This window comes from Homo sapiens, chromosome 8 (assembly GCF_000001405.40).
Source record: "Homo sapiens chromosome 8, GRCh38.p14 Primary Assembly".
NCBI classification, from domain to species: domain Eukaryota; kingdom Metazoa; phylum Chordata; class Mammalia; order Primates; family Hominidae; genus Homo; species Homo sapiens.
In genome coordinates, this window is record NC_000008.11 from 124,030,315 (window position 1) to 124,056,982 (window position 26,668).

At 44.0% G+C, this 26,668-nt stretch overlaps 1 protein-coding gene and 2 long non-coding RNA genes across 12 annotated transcripts in view; 1 reads left to right on the forward strand and 2 right to left on the reverse strand.

Moving 5' to 3' along the window:
* FER1L6-AS1 (FER1L6 antisense RNA 1) overlaps nt 1–10,468 on the reverse strand; it is a 56,645-nt gene extending 46,177 nt beyond the window's left edge. Inside the window, exon 1 of the long non-coding RNA NR_040044.1 lies at nt 10,312–10,468. This is a non-coding gene — a long non-coding RNA (FER1L6 antisense RNA 1). The remainder of the gene's footprint in view (nt 1–10,311) is intronic.
* Nucleotides 1–26,668, forward strand: part of FER1L6 (fer-1 like family member 6) — a 268,075-nt gene that overhangs the window by 178,328 nt on the left and 63,079 nt on the right. For 7 of the 10 annotated variants that reach the window (XR_928347.3, NM_001039112.2, XM_011517231.3 and 4 more), the window contains 4 exons: nt 4,963–5,140; nt 9,568–9,692; nt 15,453–15,587; nt 19,293–19,442. Coding sequence is in view for 9 of the 10 variants with exons in the window: in NM_001039112.2 (NP_001034201.2) it covers nt 4,963–5,140; nt 9,568–9,692; nt 15,453–15,587; nt 19,293–19,442 (588 nt within the window). In the remaining variant the exon portion in view is untranslated. Of the gene's footprint in view, nt 1–4,962; nt 5,141–9,567; nt 9,693–9,719; nt 10,210–10,248; nt 13,485–15,452; nt 15,588–19,292; nt 19,443–26,668 lie in introns of those variants that run through there. The other 3 variants (XM_047422118.1, XM_011517236.3, XM_047422117.1) reach the window with 3 other exon arrangements.
* Nucleotides 15,757–26,668, reverse strand: part of FER1L6-AS2 (FER1L6 antisense RNA 2) — a 125,452-nt gene continuing 114,540 nt past the window's right edge. The window contains exons 4-5 of the long non-coding RNA NR_103547.1: nt 17,243–17,379; nt 15,757–16,462 (exon numbers count right to left, since the gene is read on the reverse strand). This is a non-coding gene — a long non-coding RNA (FER1L6 antisense RNA 2). The remainder of the gene's footprint in view (nt 16,463–17,242; nt 17,380–26,668) is intronic.

Here is a 26,668-nt window from a genome sequence, read left to right on the forward strand (position 1 = left end):
ATGAAGGTTTTGCGGTCCCGGGTTGCATGATCTTCCTTTTTCTCTAATTTAAACATATTCATGATGCTACTAAAAATGATGGAACAGAATTTGCAGAACTCAGCCCAACTCACCACTCAAAAGTTTACGATCCTCTCCTTTTAGTCTTATCCCCACTGTGCTCCTGATGGCTGGAAATGTGGAAATGGAAATTCATCACCGAAAGGAAACCCTTCCTAAGGAAGGAGCTAGATGCTCTCAGAGCCCAGAGGGTGGCGCTCAACCTTCCTCTTCTCCTTGAGTTAGCTCTGGGCTGAGTCCACTCCTCACTCCCATCGCCATCCCTATCCTACCTTCTCTCCACAACAGGGAGTCCATCTCCTGTTCTCCAGGTTCCAGCTTTCCATCTAGCTTTTCCTAGGATGCAGCAGGAAGTGATGGCTAAATAGCACCTTTCTCTGTCCTGCCACAGAGTAAAACCTCTACCACATAAACAAACCTCACTCTCACTAATACTGACCAACTCCAACACAGTTCATGTGAGTTACTACCTCTCTCTCTCCTTCTCTCACTTGCCAAGACTTCCTCTTCCTTTTGAGCCGGCTGTCTTGCACCAGGACCCCGTGGGAGGTGGGGAAGGCACAGGGGAGACTGAGCCTTTAGTATTCTGTCTCATGCAATATTTATATATGGATGATCACAGCTTTTTGATGCATTTTTGCATTCTTAATTGTTTTTCTCTGTTGTGTTTTCTTTTTTCCTACCTTTCCATGCTATTCTCAGAGGGAAATACCTTGCTGTGGTTGGTGAAGCTTCAGGGGCACATGAGAGAGGAAGGAGAGTGGGGAAGCAGGTGTAGGAGCCAAGGGAGAGCTTTCCCTTGGCCCTCTGAAGCTTCGCTGAAAAATCAATTCACAAAAGGTAGATTAATAGGAGAAAAGGCATACAAATTTATTTAATGTATATATTAAATATACACATTAATATATGGGAGCCTTTAGAAGGAAGATCCCAAAATAGGGGGAAATCATCCATTTTTATGCTTAGGTTCAACAAAGCATGGATGGACATGTAGAAATACGATTCAGTAAAAAGGGTATTATCTAATGCTAGTGGACTGAGTGGGGAAACAGCAAGGCCTGTCTGCCTAGCTGCTTCTTGGCCTCTCTGTAGCATTCTTTCCTTCTGGATGTGGAGTAGAACCCTCTCTGGAATGGGCTACAGTTACACAAGATAGGTCAGATAATTTCTTTATGGCCAATTTTTACATAGAAAGGCAGAGGGAAAGTTAGAGTCATATTTTTAGGTTTTATAGCTGGCTTTGGGGAAATGGGGTTCTGGTTTCTGTGACCTGCACTAGGGAAGAGAGATTCTAGTTTCTATGGCTAACCTGGGGGTGAATGGGACTGAGAGATAAGAGGGCAGGAGGTCAGAGAAACACTTTTGCTTCTGAGGCTTTCATTTGGGGGTATTGTTTTCTGAGCCCCAGTTGAGGGAAGGCAGGGGCAGACATGTAACCAGGCTGAAAGTACACATGAAATTAAAAATGGGATCCTGTTCCTGAAAGCACCTAGGAAGGTGCTCGATAATGTTGAATGAATCCAACTTAGATACTTAAGTGAGACACTGCATTATCTTGCCAGCAATTCCAATTTGCATATATTTTTTTAAATGTACAAGTTGCTAACTTTAGGAGTGCAGCAACAGTCTTTGTGGAACACTTTCACAAGACATTAGCTGAGTCTTTCGTTTTAACCATGAGTTTAAACACCCATTTATTGTTTAGTAGCAGTAGAAATGAATGATGTTTTTTGTCATTGTTTTGTTTTACTTTAAGAAACACAAGGCCAGCCTGGCATGGTGGCTCATGCCTATAATCCCAGCACTTTGGGAGGCCGAGGCGGGTGGATCACCTGAGGTCAGGAGCTCAAGACCAGCCTGGCCAACATGGTGAAACCCTATCTCTACTAAAAATCCAAAAATTAGCCGGGTGTGGTGGCATATGTCTGCAATCCCAGGTACTTGGGAGGCTGAGGCATGAGAATTACTTGAACCCGGGAGGCAGAGGCTGCAGTGAGCTGAGATTGCACCACTGCACTCTAGCTTGGGTGACAGAGCAAGACTGTCTCAAAAAAAAAGAAAAGAAACACAGGCCCAGGCTCTGTGGCTCTTGCCTGTAATCCTAGCACTCTGGGAGGCCAAAGGGGGGCAGATTGCTTTAGTCCAGGAGTTTGAGATGACCCTAGGAAACATGGTGAAACCCCATCTCTACCTCCCAAAAAATCAATAAATACAAAACTATCCGGGCATGGTGGTGCCTGCTCATGGTCCAAGCTACTTGAGAGGCTGAGGTGGGAGGATGGCTTGAGCCCAGGAGTCAGAGTTTGTAGTGAGCTGAGACTGCACCACGTCACTCCAGCTTGGGTGACAGAGCGTGATTCTATGGGGGCAGGGTGGGAGGGGGATAAAAAGAAAAGAAAACCCTGCAGAATCTCAGATGTGCTTTGCTTAGGGCAATGTAGCACACTAAGTTAAGAGCATTGCTGCACAAATACTTAAAACTGAGATCTGTAGACCAGCAGGATTAGCGTCCATCAGGAGAAATCAGATTCTCAAAATTTCCCAGAGACCAGTTGAATTTGAGTGTGCATTTTAACCAGATGCCCTGGCAATCCATGTGCTCACAGCAGTGTGTGAGGAGCATTGGCTGAGAGTCTGGGCTCTAACCCTGATAACCTATGATTTGGTGATAGCTTGCAGGCAATAGAACATTCTGTGTGAAGAGAGAAACATTAGACCAGGGCCTAGAATGATAGAAGTGCTCAACATGTGTTAAATATTATTATTGTTAGAAAAGTAAATAAAGGATATTCACTCAACCTATATTTACCACATGCTTCCTGGGTGCCAAGAACTCTTTTAGGCACTGGGGACACGGCAGTGAAGCAACAGACAAAAATTCCTTTCTTTATGAATTGATGTCTTAGTGATGTCTACAAATGGCAGAGGGATTGCTTTTATTATAGGAAAATAATCTTAGGCTTTCAATACGTATTAATTTTATTTTACAAATGTATTCCCCAATACATTTTGGCTATTATTATTAGAGAAGTGATAAGTTGAGGGTGATTTGTCTTATAATTTTGTAAATTACAGGTTGTAGAGTGGTTGCCTTTACCAACAACAAAATAAACTTACTTGATTTTTTTTTTTGAGCTCAACAAACACTGGCATCCTACTGCTTAAAGAATACAGTCCCAGCTCCTCCACATACTGAGCAGGATTCTTCAGCTTCATCTGTGTCATTCTCTGTCTAGCTCTTATGCTTACTGGTTGTGACTTCTTTCCCAAAAGCTCTTAGCATCATTCCTGGCACAGAGTAAGCACTTGCTAAATATTAGCTCATATTACCTAAATCTTTGTTCACATGCTTTCCTCTCTTTTTGGGATCCAACTAAAGTGCCCATTAAAGCCCAGCTAAATATTTGAATCCTAAAGGAAGGATGGAAATCACTGCTGCTACTTCTCAGTTTCCTCAGTACTTTCTGTCTTTGCATTTGAGTAGGTGAAGGTAAGTGGCCAAGTGGAGTGGCCTCTTTGTGAGCCCTGGAGGGAGGGCCAGGACTGAGTCTTCTGGCCCCACTCCCTCAGCAAGGGCCTAGCAGCACTGGCAGTAGTTGCTAAGCTGAGTTGCTCATAATCCATTTGTGGAACCCGCAGAGCACAATAGAAAGGCAAACAGCCATGCTCAATTTCGGATTCAGAGACTCTCCATGGGGTCCTTGGAAATTGTCAGAGCAAGTTGTGGCCTTTCATAATAGGATTTTGTGACTCTCAATGGAAAGGAAGTGATGTTAAAAAAAAAAAAGAAGAAGAAGAAGAAAATTACTGACAGGAAATTCTAAGAAACACCAGGAAGAGGAACTTAGAAGAAGAGTTGACAACATTTTGAGAGGTAGCAGCTAAGTGCCATAGGTTACTCTCAGAATGATGGCCTTGCTGGCAACAGCCAAGACTGGGTCCTGGGACTCCTTAGAGGGGTAAGGGAGTACCCTTATCCTGGTGACTGAGAAATAAAGGAGCCACACTGCCTACATTTTGTCTTTAGATTCTGAGAATACATGCACCCCTATGCAGGCATATACACACATATACATAAGTACATGCACACACAGGCGTATGTACACACATACATGTGGACATGCACACACTCCCTGTGCATACTAATACTACCCCACTCATACAGACATAAACATAGAAATTAAAGCAAACATAAATAAAAATACAAATCTGAGCACATTCAAAAGAGAGAGAGCAGAGCAGTAAGGGAATCTGAGACCACACTGCATGAGGAAGCGGTGAAGGTGTTTAGCCAGGAGGAAAGTGCATGGCAGGCCAGGTAGATTCTTCTAAGTCATAGAGTCCTGACTTATGGAAGAAGTACTAGGATTCTTCTACATGAAACAAAGAGGTAAAAAGTCAGGTTGGAACTCCAGACAGTTGGAAGTTCCAGGAAGAAGATTTCAGCTCAGAGTGACAGTCAGGCTATGGGGTTCAGAGTCTAGAGTCTAAATTTGGAATCATCTCTTTTATTTTTGACTTTCGTCTCTGTCACTTAAAAACTGAGCCATCACAGGCAACTTACTTTATCTCTCTGAGCCTGTGTTTCCCCATTTATCAAATGGTGGCAATAAACACACCTACTACCTATTAAGTTTAAATGACCCACGGCTTGGAAGAGCTTATCACAGTGCAGGTTTAAGCTTTAGGTCCCACTAGACCTGGATCTTCCTCTGGAGATATGGAGTTGTGCATCAAGGCAATTGGGGCCATTGTCTTTATTTTGATTTAAGAGGAGCTCTTGAGAACTGCTCTCTGAACATACTTCCAGGTGTGTCTCCAGGAAGGACCTCTTTTCTCAAAAGGGGAGGCCTATAATTATCTCCTACTAATAAGTCAGTCTTTTTTGTAACCTTTCTCCAGCCTCCTGGGAAACGACCGGCTGGTTGGTCTGTGCAAGCAAAAGTCGACGTGTACCTGTGGCTGGGCTCCATCAAGCATGCCAGTGCCATTTTGGACAACTTGCCAGTAGGCTATGAAGCAGAAATGTCCTCCAAAGGGGCTGGCACCAATCACCCCCCATCTAACCTGCTCTACCAAGGTAGGGTCCCCACTGGGCAAAGAGGGTCATTCGAGGTCTCAGGTGGGCTTCTGAAAAGATAATAAGGAGGGCAGCATGCATGAGTTTTTTGCACATTATTTTAGGGCCAACTTATTGGTCTTCTTAAGTAAAGTACAGTTTCTAAGTGTTCTACCTTACCTTTCATTGTCCCATCTAAAAAGAGTAAAATCATTAAACACATCTGGAATAAACACTTATGTTTCTCTGTTAATAGAGAGGAAGTAATTTGAGTTTCTTTGTAGGCAGATTATGTAGGTTGAGTTTGCGTTTTAAGCAAAAAATGTCAGAATGTCAATATGTTCTTGTGCTTACATGATCTGTGGAATTAAGGCAGATTTTACTTTTATGTGGCATTCGAGTTTTGACATATCAACAGCAGATATTCACATTTCCTAGTAGTAACCCAGTGGAGACTGGTATCAGTAGGTTCACTTATATTTCTCCAGCTTGGTTCTTGGCTCGGCTGCTTTTAAAATTCAGCATGCTTTATGGAATCCTTTTTCTATGTAGTTATTTTCTGTAAGTGCCATCATGTTTATGTTTTGATACATTTTTGAGTTTTATTATAAATATTCCTTACACTTGCATTTTGCTTTCTGCTTCCAAATTACTTCCATTTATGTTATCTCTTGCTGCTGAGTTCAGATAAAGCAGCCTGCAGTTTTACCTTCATTTCTGCTGAAGTTGAGTTTTGGGTTGAGCCAATGTTGGAAACACTGGAGAATTGTCTGTAGAGTCAGGTCTTCTCTGTGGCCCAAGGCTCCTCTGAGGTTGGTTGAACTTAGACTGCCAGTGGAATCGAAGTTGCTCAATAGTCAGAGAATACAAGGTTCTGGAAATACATATCCAATGGTTCAGCTCATGGTTTCTGTACCCCATATAAATGCGTAAGAGCATTGTCTTTGGAAAATGCATAATACCACATGCCAAGCATTGTGCCTTACACTTTATGCATAAGATGTCATTGATTTCTCAAATCAACCCTGGGAAGACTCTTCATCTTTCAGATGAAGAAAATTATGTAGCAAAGATGCTTAAAAATTGCCCAAGGACACATAGCTAGTAAATGATGGGGAAAAAAATGTCTCCAAACCCTGCTTTCTTTCTACTGTCTTCCACCATACCTTGAGAGAGTTTTCATCTTTGGGTAAAAAACATCCACATTAACTTGATAGGAAAAAATAGGAACCTCACTTGGCTTCCTATTTTTATCGACTATCTCTAGAGACCCAAGGACCTGGATGTGATTGCTATCCCAGCTACTAACAATTCAGAGAAGAGGAAAGACTTTTCCTAGTGCTTTCTGATCCTCTGCAGTGTGTTTTCATAGAGTGACCTAATAAACTTTTCCTGCTGTGCACTGGCATTGATGGCTTTGGCTGCCTTCCACACCTACTGGAGAATTTTGTGCTCCAGAAAATACCTGTTCAGCAAATAATTAGTTTGCACCTATATATGTAAGGCATGGTGGAAAAACTAGTGGGTGACATAGAGATGAGTGAGAGGTGATTCTGGCCCTCAAGTGGGGATAACAGACACATCTCTCATAACCACAAGTAAAAAGCAAGCCATAGCACAAGAGGTGTACCAATAAAGTGTGAGGAGGGTGACTAGATTAGTCCCAGGAACATAACTAGTAAGACTCAAGGTTTCAGAAAAATGAAAACTCACACTGAGTAAATGGTGCTCCCTGGTGTTGTGCAGTGCACAGCTTGTGTGGCTGCCATTGGGAGGTCTGCTAAAATTACAGGGTTAGCCATTTCAAGGGCAGCTGATGAACATTTTCACCGGATGAACCATTTCCAAGTTCACTGTCAGCTGAGAAATTTGCCAAACTATGTAGCATGCTAAGGAACACGTGGGCCATCTCTAGAAACACTCCTGTCGGGAAATCCCTGTGCCATCTGCTGAACATTCCATCATTTACTGTTGCCATTTTAAGGGGCTCCCTTGCCAGCAGGGCCCAGCCTGTTTTGTGAGGGTTTATTGGTGTATGTGGCAGTGGGGACAGAGGGACAGTGGGGACAGACTTAGAATTGAGTCCAAAGCAATCACTTCTCTGGTTCTCCCTGCCTTGACAGAATGTGGAGAACTTTCACCGCAAATACCTGGACTTAACTGGGAAGTGTGCAGAGCTCAAGTTTCCAAATCCTTTGCAGGATTAGAGTGGGTCTGATATGGTTGCTGTGTTCTCAGGCTCCATATTGGTCCCCATGCAGCCAGACAGTGGCATGGGGTGGAGGGTAGAGGGACAGAAACGTGTGTGAGCCTCAAGACAATCAAGTAAGGAGTTGTCTTTGGCACCCCCTGCCTTTCCTGTCCCTCCTCACCCTGCCAATCAGGGGTCAAGTCCTATAGCAACAAGGGCTGCCATGTCCCTCCCACCCCCTCATTTCCATCCCCTCCACCAGTGCCTAAACTCTGGTCCTTAAACTTCTGGCCTAGAGGGAGCAGTGTTGTCTCCTTGTTGGTTCTTCTCCCTGACACCTCTTCTGTCCATGGCTAGCTTGACTCAGTTTTATCGTCCTGAGGCTTTGCTCTGCTAGCACCAGCTCCTGTGCACAGACTTTCAAGAGTTTCCGATTGCCTCGTTCAGGCCTCCTAGGTCCTCAGTGATACGACTACAGCTGTCTGTGTCCCTAGACTCTAGATAAACTGGACTACATTCTTGCCCCATGTGGCCTAGTGTTTTTGACCCTGTCTTGACTCATCCTGCTCCAGTGTCTTGGCACCTCCACCTCTGTCTCTCAAATGTTACCATCCTTTAGGGCTCTGCTCAAAGGGCAGCACCACCTCCGCTATGGTCTGCCCCTTTTTCTTTGAATGTGCTTTGGTGAATGTGAATGATTGCTTTGCGTGCACATATTCTTATTTTACATGTATAGTACTGTCTCCTATCTCACTAAGCACTTAGATTCTTGAGATCCATCCATTTTGCCACGTGTACCTCTAATTCGTTGCCCCTAACTGCTTTCCCGAACTTCCTGACATTTTTCCTTTGCACTACCCCAGTGATGGACATGCAGGTTGCTTCCAGGTGCTCACCACAGGCTCACATTGCAATGAGCAATAGTAACAACACTCCAGCCTCTTCACCCCACTTTTAGAGTTCTTCCTATGGGCCAGGCACCATTCTGAGCCCTTCAGTTCTCTTCAATAACCCTATGAGGAACTATTATTACCTCGATTTTACAAATAAGGAGATAAAGGCACACTAATAAAGGATTAGTAGTAGCCATGTACAAGTCCCCACATGGATCTGTGTGAGACAAGTGTAGGGATGGCATTGTAGGGGGTGGAGGAGTTCACAGGGTATTTGTACCCTTAATTTAACTAAGTAGCGTTATTCAAGTTAGTCCACAAGAGCTTCTGTATACCACTCCCCAAGTCTGCACAAAAACAGACACACTGAACACAGTGGCTTTGGGGGAGTCCGTGAAATGGGAGTGGGTAAAGAAGTAAAAAGGGATAAGTGAATATAAAAACCAAGAGGCGCCCTGCAAGGGGCAGTGATCAGAAAGTACCATGGACCAAGGACTGTGATGAACTCAACTCTTACTTGAGGTTTCCCCACTGAACCCTGAGCTGCCCCAACCTGAGGCCTCCTATCCCAGCACAGTGTGCTCACTCCTGTCCTTTACCCCTGTGTTCCTTGCCAGCATTCTCACAGGACACTTATCCCTGACCCCCTGCCTGTGATGTGGGTGCTTGTCTTATCTTCTGCCTTCTCCCAGGAGCTCTCCAGGGGCAGGGACTGTCTTGTTACCACAGAATCCTCAGAGATCAAGACTGTACACAGTAGGTGCTCAGAATGACCCTGGCTGGCTGAATGGAAAATGAGTCAATGGATGACTTGAGACATATATTGTGTTTACTGAAGTGAAAACTATGTGGAGCAGCCCCTTTCACACACACAGGCACACACCCACACATGCCCACATGCACACACATGCACACACTCATGCCTGTATAAACAGGAGAATTACTGGGGAGTAAAATTTGATATTTTAGAAAGAGAAGAGGATTTTAGAATCAGAAATAAAATCGATGCTCCGGCATGGGTTAATTGTGCAAACTTTTGAAAGTCTTTTAACCTGGTTGTGGGCCATTTTTCCTCATCTATGAAGTGGAGAGCATGCTATTTCGCATGGTTTTAGTGAAGAATAAGACACATAACCTGGTGAAAGCACCAAGGAAGATGGCTGGGTTCAAAGTACCCCATAAATATCACCTCTTCCCTTTCTTCAGGACTTCCATTCCTGTCTCAGAGGAGGGTGGATGTGGCTGGTGGTCTCCTTTTGTCTGTCTGTGGATACATAGATGGACATCACACACAGACACACATGTGCACACACTGTTCTTGAAAAGCCCACTAACACCTGCCCCCTTCCATGATTTGTCCACAGAACAGCATGTTTTTCAGCTGAGGGCTCACATGTACCAAGCCCGGGGCCTCATCGCAGCTGACAGCAATGGACTTTCAGACCCTTTTGCCAAAGTCACGTTCCTTTCTCACTGCCAGACAACAAAGGTAACCAGGGTAACCAAGACAGCCTGCTTCTTTCCTGCAGCCTGCAACTGACCCACAGAAGATCCCAGGAAAGAAACAACGGGGGCATGTTGCAAATACCTGCATCTTTGGGTGTGTAGATGTTTCAGACTGAAAAGCGAATATGTGCCCAGAAGGACTGGTGTGGGGAAGGTCTATTGTTTCAGTGTGATTCATTGTCCTAGGGCAAAGGATGCAAGTCCCTGAGGCGAAGGAAGGCTGGGAGAAAAAGAGGAATGAGGCGGAGAAGGCTAAAGTGCCAGGCACGAGGCCAAGTGCAGTGGGGAAGGAGCAAATGAGGAAACAGCACAGATCAACCTGCAGGAGGTTTATGATCCAATCATTATGAAGGGGTCTCAGTGGGGAGAAACATTTTCCAGTTTTGTGGTCAAGATGCGCTAGACTTTGCACTCACCAGCTGGGGAGCTTCGCATGCTTTTAACATCTTTATGCTTCACAGTCCCCCTCCTCTGGAAAATACTACTTCATAATGGATATTGTGAGTATTAAGGGAGATGGGTTGTCTTAATCCATTTAGCATTGCTTATAACAGAATACCTGAAACTGGGTAATTTCTAAAGAAAAGGAAATTATTTTTTACAGTTATGGAGGCTGGAGGTCCAAAGTTGAGGAGCCGTATCTGATGAGGGCCTTCTTGCTGGTGGGACCCTGCAGGTTCCGAGGCAGCACAGGGCATCACGTGGCAAGGGGGTGGAGCATGCTAATATGCTCGCTCAGGCCTCTCTTCCTCTTCTTCTGAAGCCACCAGTTCCCCTCCCATGACAGCCTATTAATCATAGATTAATCCATTTGTGAAGGCAGATCCTTTATGACCCAAACACCTCTTAAAGGTCCCGCCTCTCAATACTGTGACATTAGGGATTAAATTTCAACATGAGTTTTGGAAAAGACAAATATGCAAATCATAGTATGGGTCTGTGCCTGTTTCCTCTGTCTTTCTCCCTATCCTATACAACTAGTACTAAAATGTGAAAGGATTCCTAATCAGCAAAAATCCAGTAGGATGCTTGTCTCATTAGATTCTGTTCTTTAAACATTTATTCTGTTCTCTGATTTGTGGTTTGAAAAGAGGAAAACTCAGTAAAGAATTGCCCATCTCAGGGAGTTAAGCACCATGGGTTAGCACACACAGTGCCCTAAGGTTACTTTCTAGCTCATCTCCTCTTTGGCTGCATGTCTTTGGGCAAGTAACACAACTCACTAAACCTCAGGTTTGTCATTTTAAGATGGGACTGTCATGAAGAAGCAGATATTTAAGTTTATAAAATGATTGATAAATGATGGCCATGACATTGGCTGATGTTGAGAGGGCTAACATTGTTCTCCAGGGCAAAGCCCATGACCTCGATGATAGAGTAGACTGCATTTTGATTTATGACTCGCACACTGACAGCGTGATGTGAACCAGCCTCACATTCATTGAACCAGTGCCTGTCGGGTGCTGGCTTTTTGCCAGGCCACATGCTGGGCTCTGGAGGATGAGAGGAACCAGACTCTGCTCCAGTGTAATATACAATCCAGGCATGGATGCAGGCCTCATGACACACGAGTCACTACACTATGATAAGCCTCAGGGTGCAGGGCTGTACAGAGTCCTACAAGAGCCAGGTAGAGAAAGGGTTAGTTCTACCTGGGGGAGAAGTCAGGAGACACCTCAGAAGAAAGGTGACTTCATCCTCATTCAGTGACTGAGCATAAAAATGAGAAGACAACAGACTGCTTTCTCTTTCCTGTGTTTTGAGAGTTAGTATAGAGCATGGTGATGATGAGTATAGACTCTGGAGCTGCGCTGTCTGGGTCAAAATCCACGCTCTTCCATTTATCAGCTGTGTGACTCTAAACAAACCTCTGTTTGTGCCTCAATTTCTTTATCTGTGAAATAGGGATGATAACCTTGTACATTCCTTCCAGAGGATAAAATACCCAGGACAGTACCTTGCTTAAAACTAAGGCCTATGTGACTGCTTGTTGTTGTTGTAATTGAGGCTTCCTTCCTACAGCAAGGGAGTTCTCATAGGATGGACCCCTGGAGCCCTCCTCCACCTGCCACAACACTGTGGAGTTCCAGGGCCTTAGTGAAGTACAGGATTTGGACTAAATCCTTGGTCTGCTGTGTAATTATCCTTGTATTTTGTATCTCCATACAGCATCTTCATTTGATTTACATCCATATCTCAAAGGAACAGATGGCTTTTATTTGTCAAATAATTATTTGAAAGGGAAAATAGGTTCTGTTGAGTTCTGGACTCTGTCTCCATAATTTTAAGCCAAGTACCTCATTTTTGTTAATAATAATAGCTGCTATTTACTAAAAGCTCCCCACGTGCTGGGCACAATGCTTAGCATTTTATATGCATCATTTGCTACATCTCACTGCAGCCCAAAGCTGGATGTTATTAGTGTCTTCATTCTACAGATGAGGAAGGTAAGGCTCGGAAGCGATATAGCTAGAAGATGGTGGAGCCAAGATGGAAACCCAGGTTTGTCCAATTCCAGAGTCACTTTGCTTAACCACTCCACTTCCATTTTCATAAGAAAGGGTACCAATTTCCCTCTCCTGTTTCACTTCTGCGCTAACACAGAGGGACTTGTCTGCAGGTGACATGCCCCCTTTATGTATTTTTAATGATGAGGAAAGCTGAACCTGGGCCCCTGCAGTCATAGCCGAGTGCCACTGTTCAGCTGGTAGCACTCACCTGACCACGCGGGGCTCAGGGAGAAAAAGCCTCCGAAGGCTGTTCCTGAAAAACCAGTGCTTTATAAAGTGACTTAATGGAATGAAATATTTCAAAGAGGGGAATCCAGTCATTCCCAACATCACTGGGGATATGGGACATAGAAATCTTGTGATTGAAATACAAAGGGAAGGAGAGAAAGCTCCGACAGAGAAAGGCTTCTGGGATGAAAGAGGGAAACAGACTAAGTGGCTAAGAGGGAGCATTAGAGGAGAAGGGGAGGAAATCTTAAGAGGGTGAAGCACGGAACCTGCCATTTGCAACAACCAGGCTGGGGCTTAGTCCTGAGGACATGAATGGTCTCTTACCCCAGTGCACCAAGGCTGCCATGTGGCAGGCGTTCAGTAAATGTTTACTCATTTATAAAAGAATATGGGCTGGGATCGGGTAGGATGGGTAACAAGCAATTATTGAGCACCTGATGTGTGCCAAGCACTTAATATTCTTGGACAATGCTCATAACTCCGCAGGGTAGGTGCTAACCCCATTTAAATGAGGAAAACTAAGGTTTGGAGGGTTAATATCCAACGTGCCCAAGTCCAACATCAGGTAGGTAATGAAACTAGAATTTCCCTCCAGAGTTATTTGATTCTAAAGCTATACTCTGTCCATGACAGCTGGCTCCATCATCAAAATGTTAGCTAAGTGCTACCATAACTTCCAGATAATGTCATTTAACTCAGTTATAATGCATAACTCTTTAAGAAAGCCCTTAAGAAATGAGGCGAATTATAGGCACCTTGGCAGAGTATCTTATCCTCTGGAAGGAATGTACAAGGTTATCATCCCTATTTCACAGATAAAGAAATTGAGGCACAAAGAGAGGTTTGTTTAAAGTCACATGGCTGATAAATGGAAGAGCGTGGATTTCGACTGAGGCAGTGCAGCTCCAGAGTCTATATTCATCATCACCACTCTCCATACTAACTCTCAAAACATAGTAAAGAGAAAGCAGTCTGTTGTCTTCTCATTTTTATGCTCAGTCACTGAATGAGGACGAAGTTACCTTCTTTCTGAGGTAGGTAGGAGAATGTATGTTTGTTTGGGTGAACCTTTTAGTACCTCCTGGAGGTGGTCATGCAGTCCTTTTACTCATGGGAGCAACTCCAAGGACAGGTCGATACGCACTTATTCATGCAAATAGCTATTGAGCATCTGCTATGCACAGAGTGCTGTGTTAGTGTCTAATACTGTGCCTAGCACATTGTAGGTCCTGAATCCTATATTTATATAATGAATGAGTGAATGAACAAATGCTGGTCTCTGGAATCTTATTAAGTGGTATTTACAGCCCAGTGCCAAAGAAGATACCGAAATATTTCTATAGGAAAGATGCTGTGAAGATCACAAATTGCTTTGGTATTACGCTGTCAAGTGCATGCTACAAGACACATCACATTTCTATTTTGAAAAGCATCATAAAAACACGGTTCTTTGTGATGTCACTGACACAGGGTAACTTTGCATTGCAGCTTTTTAACTTCTGTTATTAGTTGGTTGAAGTCATTCATTTCCTATTGGAAAAGTTAGATTTTCTCTGAAACGTTTAAAATCTTGTTGTGTCTCAGACATAAAGTACCCTAAAAGTGAAAAAGCAAGAAGAGAAGGAAATTGTGAAAATGCACAATATTTTTATGACCCACATAAAGAAGAGCAATAAAAATATTCCTTTGTGACCACAGGGCAAATGACTTAATGCTGTGACTAGAAATGACTCGATGTAAAACGCTGAGATGACAGTTGATACGAGTTTTGGAGTCCAGGCCAGGTCTCCCTCTAGACTTTCCTCCTAGATTGAACAGTGACAGACAAAGGCACAGTTCAGAAACTTCCCCTGGACCCAGCAGCTGCTGTGATACATTCACCTATGAAATCACTCATTTGCCTGGAAGAGAAAGAAATGTGGTTTTGAACTCTTTCCAGGACTAGTCTCCTGCATTAATGGAATAGCTTCTGCCCAGGTGCAGAGTCCACTTGCCCCGCAAACAACTCCAGTCTTCGGCTGTGTGAAATTGGCAGGTTTCCAAACATCCAATTAAATAGAGAAGAAAATGCAAGACCAAATATGCCCTCCCTTCTGAGGGCACCACTTAAATGGCCTAGGAGGGGGCTGTAAGCCACTTCTAGGCAAGATGCTCATGGTCTGAGGGCAATTATGCAGATTATTATCCTCTGTATCCATTGACTGCTCCAACTGTATAATGGTACAGTCTACTATCAGTGTAAGAAAGTTGTCATGCAAAATGGTGAGAGCAGTTTTGAAAACCTTGATCTATTTAATTCAGTCAATAACCACAAAACAGTAGAATTCCACATAAGGAATATTAGGTCAAATACCCAACTTCAGGATATTTGATGACAAAATTTTATTTGCTCCTAAGTCAAGAATCATGTAATCTCCCCAATCCTCCGTGTTCTCATTCATAAAATGGGGATAATATTAGCATCTACATGGCGAGAGTGGGTGAGGTTAGCAGCCTGCCTGGGCTTTGCTGCCAGATGGTCCAGGTGGAACCTCAGTTCTGCCACTTGCTGGCTCTGGACAAGTGAGCCTCAGTTTCCTGATCTGTAAAATGTGTGTAAATAACTGAACCTACCTCCCAGAATTATTGTGAGGGTTGAATGAGACAGTGCATGTGAAATTCAGCACACCATAAATGCTCAAAAAAGTGGCTAGTGTTATCATTGGCACTACTGTGAGGACTGAGCTGAAAGTATGTATGCAAAGAGGGTGTTAAACATGTAGGGGCTCTGCTCATGAAACTTAAGAATGTACGCTTCTCCACGGTTGGGAGTCTTTGTGTTCCCTAGCATTGTTTAGTACATAGTAGCTGCTCAGTTTACATAGTCACTTGAATATTGAATGGTGAGCAATCACAATGATGATGTGTTCTCTTTCCCCTGTATAAGTATTTGATGAATGAACCTTAGAGCCCCTATAACTCAATTGAATGATCTTTTGCTTTTCTTTGGTCCCTGCTTCCAGATAATCTCCCAGACCCTCTCTCCGACCTGGAACCAGATGCTGCTGTTCAATGATTTGGTGCTGCATGGAGATGTGAAGGAGCTGGCAGAGTCCCCGCCCTTAGTGGTGGTGGAGCTGTATGACAGCGACGCTGTGGTGAGTGTCCCCCTGGGCCAGTGCTGACCACACCTCATAAAAAATGCCACGTTGAACTCACTCACTTTATTTTAAAGTAAATAAAGTCCTGACGCTGTGAGTGGTGAGAACACTAGATGTACCTAGAGGCAAACTTGACCTCTGAAAACAGTTCACAGAACCAAAAAGATTGGTGATGATCATTTGCTTTACTAAAAGAGTTTTTCACTGACTTCCATTTAAATGGCAATTAAAATTGGATCTGGTTTACAGAACGTCAGTCTACACACTTCTTCAGGAATGTGATACTTGTATAAAGCAACCTGCAACTGTACCCAGCCTCCAGCTAATTCCAGGTCCTATTGCTGTTTAATAAAAATGTCCATGCTTTTTGGAGACAGGAGGTTTTTACTGATCTCCCCTGGCTGAAAAGAAATGGATGGGTATTTTCTCAGCCTTTCTGTGTTTCTTTCTCTCTTGCTTGTTGCTTCGACGCCTTTCACAACACTTTAATCTCTATCCCTTTTCTTTTATGATGTGAACCAAACCTCTTGTTCTCCAAAGACGTTTGTGTGCTGAACCCTTGGATAGAGTCCAAAGCTTACTGGAGGATTTTTTTAACTTACACAAATATTCTTTTCTTAAATTAGGTAGTCTAAAATGAAAGGAAAGGGTTTGTTTCTTTATTTAATATCTCTACCTCCTCATGAGGTTGCAGAAGCACAAATATATTAAGTAAAACAGTAGTTCCAGGAAGCCTGCCTAAAGCTTCCCCACCTCCTCGCAGTACTCCTGACAGCCCCTGTCTTTGGGTCAAGGTCAGGAGGGAGTCAAGAAGTGAGCATCACAGAAGGGGAGCGGAGACCTTGGAGACCATGAAGTTCCCATCTTGCTTCCTAGAGGAGGAAACAGACACAGAAAGCTCAAATACCTTCTTTAAAGCCATAGTTGGTTGGAGGCTGAACCAGGTCCCCTGTGCCCACTTTTGCCTGTACAGGTGGTGGAGGCTAGTGTAGCAGTCTATACATCCACATTCTAGCCCTCCAAGCCACTCCCTCCCTCTGGGCCCCATTCCCCTATCTATAAATTGGGGATAGATGTGTATATTTATGGAAGAGGATTTCTACTATTTAGCATGTAGTATAGATGCTCTGTAGGGAAGACCACAAAATCATTACCTTTTCAATTTTGTTCTTAACAACATGCTTTCAATTGTTAGTGTTTATTTTCTATGCAGAAAACAATAATAGCAATAGAGCGTCTTTGAACACTCTACTAGGAAAAATCAGGTGACAGCAAACATTCCAAAGATCTGCAGGGCAGGGTACCATTGTGGTTAGGAGCACAAACTTTGGAGCCAGGCAGACTTCAGTTTGAGCTCTCACATCTGCTACTTTCTAGCTCTATGCCCTTGGGCCAGCTGCTCAACCTCTGAACGCCTCATGCCTAAAAAAGAGTTAAAAATAATACCTTTCTATAGGATCATGAGGACTAAAGGAATGTTGTATAGGCTTTGCATAGTGACTGGTATACAAGTGCCCAATACGTAGTAATGATGAAGATGATTGATATGTTTAAGTGATGAGGGAGTCCTGCCCTCTTTTTCTTGGTAGTAAAAAAGGATATTAAAATATTTTTGTATGTTTGTATGTAGGTCATAGTCCTGTTACACTAACCTGCTGAGCTGGCTGTGTTTCCCTTTGCTGTCCCATTGCTTTCCATTTCCCTTCCAGATCTCCATTCAGTAATGGCTTTTCCTGGCCCAACCCTAAGTCAAGCCCTTTATGGAGAAATTCAGCTGACATTATTGACTCTAAAGGGAAAAAGAAATGTGGGAGAGAAAGGAATATGAAAATATGCACTTTGCTCCCAGGGAAATACATGTAGACATGCAAAAACTTTTGTTCACCCTTGTGCGCTGCAGCTAAACAGGGCCCAAAATATGGTGATGCTCAGATTAATGGAATCAGAATCTGCTGGACCCATGCTTCCAGTCTAGAACCTTACCTCATTTCCCAATGGCCTCATAAGAATCTGCTGGTTCTGGAATAAATGAGTTTATATTTGGAAAATTGGTTGCTTGGGCTATGTTTACTCTTTTGTTTCCAGGGCTAATTTGAATTAACCATTCCCAGCTGGGTTAATGAACAAATTGTTAGGCAGATCACTGATTTCCTAGCCAGCTGCCCTAACTCCACCCATCCCCAAAACAGGTCTGTCTCCACTAGTGGACACCAGCAGGCAGCTTTGTTTTCAAGTGTGGTTGAACAAAAGCCTGGTTTCCATCTCAACCAAGTTTCCTTCTACAGCTGGGGTTGCACATATTGCTTCAGGAGTCCAGAGACAATGAAGCAGTGTGACTGCTAAAACCCAGCCTCAGCCAAAAAGAGCAAGGGCACTGACCTTGGATGGCAGAGGTCCAACAGCTTTCACTCAGCCAGCATGCATTGAGTATCTGCCCTGTGCTAGGGGACACAGCAGTGAATAGTGCAGGCAACTCTGCCCACAAGGAGCTTGTATTCTAGCAGTTCTTGAGACAAATAGCACAGCAGAATGACTGCGCAGCCCCATGCTGCCTCTGGGGGAATGTGCACACAGTCTTGCAAAAGAGGCAGGAAGCAGAGCCATCGCATCGCATACTTCTTATAGAAACATATGGCCTACATACATACATACAAAAATATTTTAATATCCTTTTTTGCTACCAAGAAAAATAGGGCAGGACTGCCCCATCACTTAGACATATTGATCATCTTCATCATTACTATGTATTGGGCACTTGTATACCAGTCCCTATGCAAAGCCTATACTACATTCCTTTAGTTCTCATGATCCTATGGAAAGGTATTACTTTTAAATCCTTTTTAGGTGTGAGGCATTCAGAGGTTGAGCAGCTGGCCCAAGGGCATAGAACTAGACAGTGACAGATGTGAGAGCTCAAACTGAAGTCTGCCTGGCTCCAAAGCTCGTGCTCCCAACCACAGTGATGCCCTGCCCTGCAGATCCTTTGGAATGTTTGCTGCCGCCTGATTTTTCCTTTTCCCCTTCCAGTCTTCCCTGGATAATGATTTTAACTATATCCTACTGAGCTCAATATATGAGAGAGATAGCCCCTAAGATAGCTTTGGGCCAGAAAGCCCCTAGGATGAGCACCCCCACCACCTTTTTTTTTTTCTTTTTTCTTTTTTTGAGACATCTCTCTCTGTCACCAGGCTGGAGTGCAGTGGTGCGATCTCGGCTTACTGCAACCTCCACATCCCGGGTTTAAGTGATTCTCCTGCCTCAGCCTCCCAAGTAGCTGGGACTACAGGTGTGCACCACCATGCCCAACTAATTTTTGTATTTTTAGTAGAGACAGGGTTTCACCATGTTGGCCAGGATGGGCTTGATCTCTTGACCTCATGATACACCTGCCACGGCCTTCTAAAGTGCTGGGATTACAGGCCTGAGCTACCGCGCCTGTATGACCCTTTTAGGATCATACAGGTCCTTTTAGGATCATACAGGGTCCTGGCCAGCCAGGATGACCCTTTTAGGAGCATGAGTGGAACCCACTGCTCCCCAGACCTACGGAAATGGGCAAGAGGAGCTTGGCAGGAGAAAAGAGTGAGACATGGAAGCTGATGGTTTTGTGGAGGTTATTTTGTGGAGGTGATGGCATTGATGTGGATCAGAACCAGGTAATTAATGATCAGGAAATACAAACTCATTTCTTTTCTTCTTTAGGGGAAGCCAGAATATTTGGGTGCCACAGTGGCTGCTCCTGTTGTGAAGCTGGCTGACCAGGACTATGAGCCCCCCAGGTTATGCTATCACCCCATCTTTTGTGGGAATCTCTCTGGAGGGGATCTCCTTGCTGTATTTGAACTGCTGCAGGTGAGTGAACCAGATGTGGCACGAGATCTATTAGGTCTACCTGGCCAGAGAAGTGGCCTCACCACAAATGCCACTTCAATGAAGCTGTGCCTGATCCCTCGCTGCAATCCCACATCTGAATGTGTCTCCTGGGGACCTGAGAGGTGCGCTTAAGAACTCAGGTGACTTGGACTATTCCCAGATACCCTGAGCTTATAAGTCAGAATCTCAGGATGAAATATTCTTGCGGGTTTGGCCAACAATGCTTGAGCAGCCTTGTGTGCAAATTCCTGAGCTTGCAGGCCTCCATGCAGGTCATGAAAGGATACAAAACAGAGAGGAAGCAAACATGTGGGCACTTACCATGTGTCCGGTGTGGTGATTGTTGTCTCGTATACCTTTCATCACACTAAAGCTCCCTCAGTCCTGCTGAGGTAGGTATTATGATTCCCATTTTACAGATAGTAAATTTAGGATTAAAGTGATTGACTGACTTATCACACAGCTGGGTGAACTGAGTTGACCTTAGACCTTTAAGGCCTTTTGCTCCTTACACTATACAGTTTTGCAAAGACAAAGAGATCTTAGTCCTTCCCACTAAGACCAAGGGGGATTTATGAATGTGTGTCTGGGGAGACTTTTTCAGAAAGCAGAAGCAGGTATTGGGAAGAGAAGCTGAGTCCCTGCAGTCTAGCAGTCTAGGAGAGGAACACGCAGGATGTGGAGAGAACCTGGAAAAGAAGTGAGTAGGTTGAGGGGCCTGTATCAGAGATTTCTCCCCTTGACCTCCTACTCACTGAGGCACCAGGAGGCGCCTGGTGGTACTTCGCCTTTTAGTCAGATCAATACCTCTATCTTAGGCGCTTAGGCTGCTATTATATAATAGAATTCTATAGACTGGGTAGTTTAAACAATAAATGTTTATTTCTCACAGTTCTGGAGGCTGGGAAGTCCAAGATCAAGGTGTCAGCAGACCTGGCATGACTGGTGTCTTCATGCCACCAAGAGAGAGAGAAGTTATCTCTCTTGTGTCTCTTCTTATCAGGACACGAATCCCATTCATGAGCGTTTTGCCCTCATGACCTCATGACCTCATTACTTCCTAAAGACCCCACTTCCAAATACCATCACATTGGGGTTGGTATTTTAACGTATGAATTTTGGAGAGTCACATTCAGTTCATAACAATGTCTATATAGGTAAGTCTAGTTTTCAGAAATCCCAATTTAAAAACAAAACAAAAAACATCAAATAAAGCCAAAACTCAATTAGTATAGAAACCAGAAGGCAAGCATTCCTAACACAAACAGAATGAGTTAAGAATGAAGGTGCTAGAGCTAGCATCCTTATTGGGATTTTAGACTTTCAATGGGATTAATGCCCTGACAAGAAGAGACAAAAGAGAGATAACCTCTCCCTCTCTTGGTCGCATGAAGATACCAGTCATGCCAGGTCGGCTGACACCTTGATCTTGGACTTCCCAGCCTCCAGAACTGTGAGAATAAACATTTATTGTTTAAACTACCCAGTCTATAGAATTCTATTATATAATAGCAGCCTAAGCAACCTAAGACAGAGGTGTTGATCTGACTAAAAGGTAAAGTACCACCAGGCACCTCCTGGTGCCTCAGTGAGTAGGAGGTCAAGGGGAGAAATCTCTGATACAGGCCCCTCAACCTCATAGTAGAAATCTCAGTTTCACCATTTATTAGTGTATGGCCCTGTGTAAGCTACTTAATCTGGGTTTCACCTGCAAAATGGGGATTATAGTCAATCTATCTAAAGTGCCTGGCATGGAATAAACACTCCACAAATAGCTATTTAAACTGAAAATGATGCCTTAGAATATTAAAGCAAGATGTCCAATTCTACCATGTATTTCAGGTAAAGGAACTGAGCTGGATAGAAAGGTAATTACTTGCTCAATATGGCGAGTGAGAGCCTAGAATCCAGAGAGTCCCACCAGAGCTGGGGATTCTGGGGAGCATAATGAGGAAGGGAGCAGCTTTGGGGTTAGACACACTTGTATTCAAACCCAGACCCTGCCCAGGTCTACAGCCTTGGGGTTGCACACGGCTACAGTAATGAGTTCTTAAGCTCATCTTATCAAAGACTTTCAGTGTGGTCTAGTTTTTGCTCCATGTAAGGGAGAAAATTTTGAGGATGGAATGGCTGCCTTGGAGAAAAAGTGAGCTCTCTGTTAGGGGAGCTGAGGCTGGGTGAGAGTTCTTGGGGGAATGGATTAGCAGGAATTCAAGCATTGGCTCTAGTTCCACAATGACTGCAGCCTAGGAGGGTAGGACTAGAAAAATCTTTGTCTTACAAATCTTAAAACCAAATGGGATTCTAATAGAACCAGATCTAGTCAAATAGATTTGTGTTGCACAGTAAAATGGACTATCAGAACTGAATGTAAACTTCAAAACTGTTGGTCCAGTCTTAAGTGAGAATCCTGTTGATTTTAGACTTTCAACGAGTGATTTTAGGTCAAAACCAGCATTAAATAGTGTTGGATTGATATGAAGGGAGTTTTGCCATGTTTTATCCTTCTAACTACTTGTAGAAGAAAGCCACTTTTGATGTTCATGTGTCTCGAATATCTCTCAACTTGAAACCTCCCTTTTTAATAAGAGATAGCACAGGTTTCAGGCACAGTCCCTTCCTAAAGAGATCAGTGACACCTATGGGAACATTTCCCAAAGTCTACCTCTTGGAACACCAGTCCCTCCAAATACAGTAAAGAGAAAGTTAAAGAAATGCTTCACATTGGCCAGGTGTGGTGGCTCACACCTGTAATCCCAGCACTTTGGGAGGCCGAGGAGCACGGATCACCTGAAGTCAGGAGTTGGAGACAGCCTGACCAACATGGAGAAACCCTATCCCTACTAAAAATACAAAAAGTAGCCAGGCGTGGTGGCGCACATCTGTAATCCCAGCTACTCCGGAGGCTGAGGCGCCTGAATCACTTGAACCCAGGAGGCAGAAGTTGCTGTGAGCCGAGATCGTGTCACTGCACTCCAGCCTGGGCGACAGAGCAAGACTCTGTCTCAAAAAAACAAACAAAGAAACAAACAAACAAAAAAAACAGCATCACATTGCATATTCCAATGACACTATTTTGTTTCATTGGTTTTCTTTTTAAAGTGACTTTCCATTTCTGTCAAGTAGTACTTGTTTTACCTTGCAAGATGAAGTTACCTTTTTAAAAATAAAAGTGTCGAATAAAAAAAATGGTTGTGGGATGTACAAGTGGTAAAGGTGGTCGTGGAATGGCTGACTTGGGAAAATGAGATCTAGTCCAGCACTCCCATTTTGCACGTGAGAAAGCTGAGGCTCAATGCTAACTGAATTGGATTCAGTCAACTCTCTTTTCACTACACAATGCTGTCCTAATAAGTGCTCTGGGTCTGAGAGGCTGCATCTGCCAATGAAGGCTGGACTGGTGGATCCCCAAATGCTCTCTGTGGGCTCAGCTGTCTGGGTTCTGTAGCCCCACCTCTCATCCTCCCTCCTGAGGTTGACAGCATTTCTCAAGCTTTCTTGTCACTGTATTTGGAGTGGGCTGAGCCCTGAGCTGGGCACACTGGTGAGAGGCCCTGCTGCTTCCTGACAGCCGACTTAATAAAGTAAGCACTGTCAGAGGTAAGTAGCCTGAGATACAATTCATTAGGATTTCATTAGGACTTCTTCTCTTTTGATCACTTGTTCAAAAAGTAATTTGATCACCAGCATGACTGTCTTAGCATGTGGATCTCATACATACTGAGAAGACAGGGGCTGGAAAATGCCTTCATTTGTTACCAGCTGTTCTCAGTTTTCATTTGTGGATGTCTGGCATCAGTTTCTCTATCTCCATTACTGAAACTGCCCTTGCTCAGAAGGATTTAGAGGCGGGGAGGATCACTTGAGCCCAGGAATTTGAGACTAGCCTCAGCAACATAGTGGGATCCCCGTCTCTACAAAACATAAAAATTCAGCCGGGTGTGATGGCACATGCTCATGGTGCCAGCTACTCAGGAGGTGGAGGCGGGAGGATTACTTGAGCCTGGGAGGTCGAGGCTGCAGTGACATCATGATCACATCACTGCATTCCAGCCTGGGCAGGAGAGCAAGAGACCCTGTCTCAAAAACACATGAAGGATATAATACCTTTGTTCTCCTATGCACCAGACTGAATTCATTATTTTTACTTCCCTCCTCTATCCAAGTTAGCTGCCCCCGTCCTCCCTATCCTGACTCATAGCCCCGTTGTTCTCCCAGACACTCCAGCTTGAAAATTCAGTAAGCCTTAATTCTTTACACCATGTCTTTATCCACAGCCAGGCCCGCCCTGCAGATTGTTCCTTGAATGGTTCCCATCCCCTGTTCCCATGGGTTCTTTTAGTGCTCATCTGAACGTTACATTGGCCTCCCTGCTGGGCTACTGGCCTTCTTTACTTTTCCTGTTCACTCCATCCTCCACATTCCTTCCAGAACACTAGTTGGTGTTACCACCCCTCTCTCCAGAAATCTTCAGTGGCTCTTACTTCTTACCACCAGGAACATTCTCAAAGTCTGGTTTTTTTTGGAACATCACTCCCTCCAAATACAGTGACAAGAAAGCTTGAGAAATGCTTTATATCACATCTGTTTTGGGGATCTGAAATGCCAGTTACCATGGTAAAGAAACTGAGAAGTCCTGCAACAAAGAACTTTTTTTTTAACTTCTTTTTCAAAACTTGATATTTCCCAAAGGTATTAGACCACAAAACATTTTTTCACGATAAGTGTTAATATTCCCTGAAGAGGAAATCTGCCCCATAGGAGACCGTCACATTTCTGTAGCCTGGCTATTAAGCTGTCCTGAAATTTGTCCTCAGACTACTTTTGTAGCCTCACATTTTAGCTGCATGGTTAACTGGGCAACCATGCAACTAACTGGGCAAAGAGCCTTTAGATGCGGAGGGAAGAGCAAATTCCAGACCCTGAAGCCTCACTATGCCCGGCATGCTCAAGGAGGTCAATGTGGCTGGAATGGACAAATGACAGGAAGCGGGAAGGCGATGAGGCCAGTGGGAAAAGATCACATGGGGCCTGGTAAGGACTTTGGCTTTTATTCTGGGAGAGATGGGAAACCAAGAGAGGACTCTCGGCACAATGACTTAATGTTGCAACGCGAAGATGCCAGATCCAGTGTATTCCGAAGGGGCAAGGAGAGAAGCAGAAAGGCCCGTTGGGAGACTCTTAAAGTTACTCAGATTGGAGATAAAGGCACCTTTAATCAGTGTAGCCATGGAAAGGAAGAGAGGTGGGCTCTGCATATATCTTAAAGGTAGAGTCTTTTGGATCAACTGATGAGATTTGACATGTGAGGTTTATCTCCACATCACACAGAAAAGCCCACAACATTTTACACATCATAGACTCACAGTAAAATATTTTGTCTGAGCCTGGTGGTTCACGCCTGTAATCCCAGCACTTTAGGAAGCTGAGGCAGGAGGATCGTTTGAGTCCAGGAGTTTAAGACCAGCCTAGGCGATATGGCGAGACCACATCTCTACAAAAAATAAAAAATTAGCTGGGCGTGGTGGTGGAGGCTGCAGTGAACTATGATCATGCTACTGCACTCCAGCCTGGGTGATAGAGCAAGACCCTGTCTTGAAAAAAAAAATGCATCTGTTTACTCATTCAATGAACAAACATTCATGGAATTCTGTGTGTAAGCCAGATTTCAACTGTTGGGCCATTCCCTGGGCCCCTCAGAGCGATGTCCCCTTCTGCAATCAGAACTATCTGTTGTTATTCACACTTTGGCCTTCTTTTCCATTCTCCATACTTAGAACACTCGTTTCCCCTACTTTTATAATGTTTCTCTTGTTTTCAGAACCCTCTCTCTCCTATTACAGTTTTCCTCTCCTCTGCTGCTTGAATGTTGTCCTTCTGGAAAGTCCACCTCCCTTTCTTAGAATGTTTTGCTTCCTGTGTTGGTTTCCTATTGCTGCTCTAACAAATGACCACAGACATGGTGGCTTAAGACAACCCAATTTATTATCTTACAGTTCTGCAGGTTAGATGTTTGAAAGGGTCCCTCATCGGGGCATCAGCAGGTCTGTGTTCCTTCTGGAGGCTCTAGGGGGAAATCTGTTTCCTTGTCTATTCTGGTTTCTAGGGATGGCCTGCATTCCTTGGCTGGTGGCCCTTCCTTTACCTTCAAGCCAGCCAGACAGCTTCTTCAAGTCTCTCTCTCTCATTGTCTCTTTCTCCCCCGAGCCTCCCGTCTACTTCCATTATCACATCTCTTCCTACTCTGACTCTCCTGCTGCTGCCTCATAAGGACCCTCAAGAATACATGGGGCCCACCCAGATAAACCAAGATAAACTCCTCATTCCAAGAGCCTTAATTTAATCACATCTGCCACATCCCTTTTTGCCATTTAAGGTAACATACTTACAGGTTCTGAGGATTAGGATATGAACATCTTTGGGAGTCATTATTCTGCCCAACACACTTCCCAATTCCTAGAAATATCTCAGCCTACCTACAGGGTTAGTGCACTACACACCCCCAAAAGGGGCCACTGCTATTTGGTCTATGTGGCTGGCCTCCCCTACGGTTGTGCACTGTGCAGCCTCCATGGATTTATGTGTTAACTCTGCCTGTTTAGAATCCATTCTTCCTTTTCATTCAACTTTCTAGGACTCTTTCTCTTACCATCATGTGAATGTTCTCTAATTTTTTCATTTGTTTTTAATCTTCTTTGTCTATGTGGTATAGATTTAACCTAAGTTCTATTGGCTTAAAAAATGAGATATTCTCTGATGCTTGGCACTCATTAAGTCTTCTTATTAGAGGTCTGAGTTAGATGATTTAATTAGCTTCAGGCAGCATCTCTGTGTGATCTTTCTCCCTGTTTTAAAGGTAAAGTGTCATTAACTGATTATTGACCTGCTAATGAAGACTTTGCAGAAGGCATCCACCCTAAAATAGGCTTAATGAGGGTTCAGGGAGGGAAAGCAGGCTGATCCTTACATATTATTAAGAACTTCCAGGCCAGGCACAGTGGCTCACACCTGTAATGAGCACCCTTTGGAGGCAGAGGTGGGTGGATCACCTGAGGTCGGAAGTTCGAGACCAGACTGGTTAACATGGTGATACCCCGTCTCTACTAAAAATACAAAATTAGCTGGGCGCGGTGGCGTGCAATTGTAATCCCAGCTACTCAGGAGGCTGAGGCAGGAGAATTGCTTGAACCTGGGAGGCGGAGGTT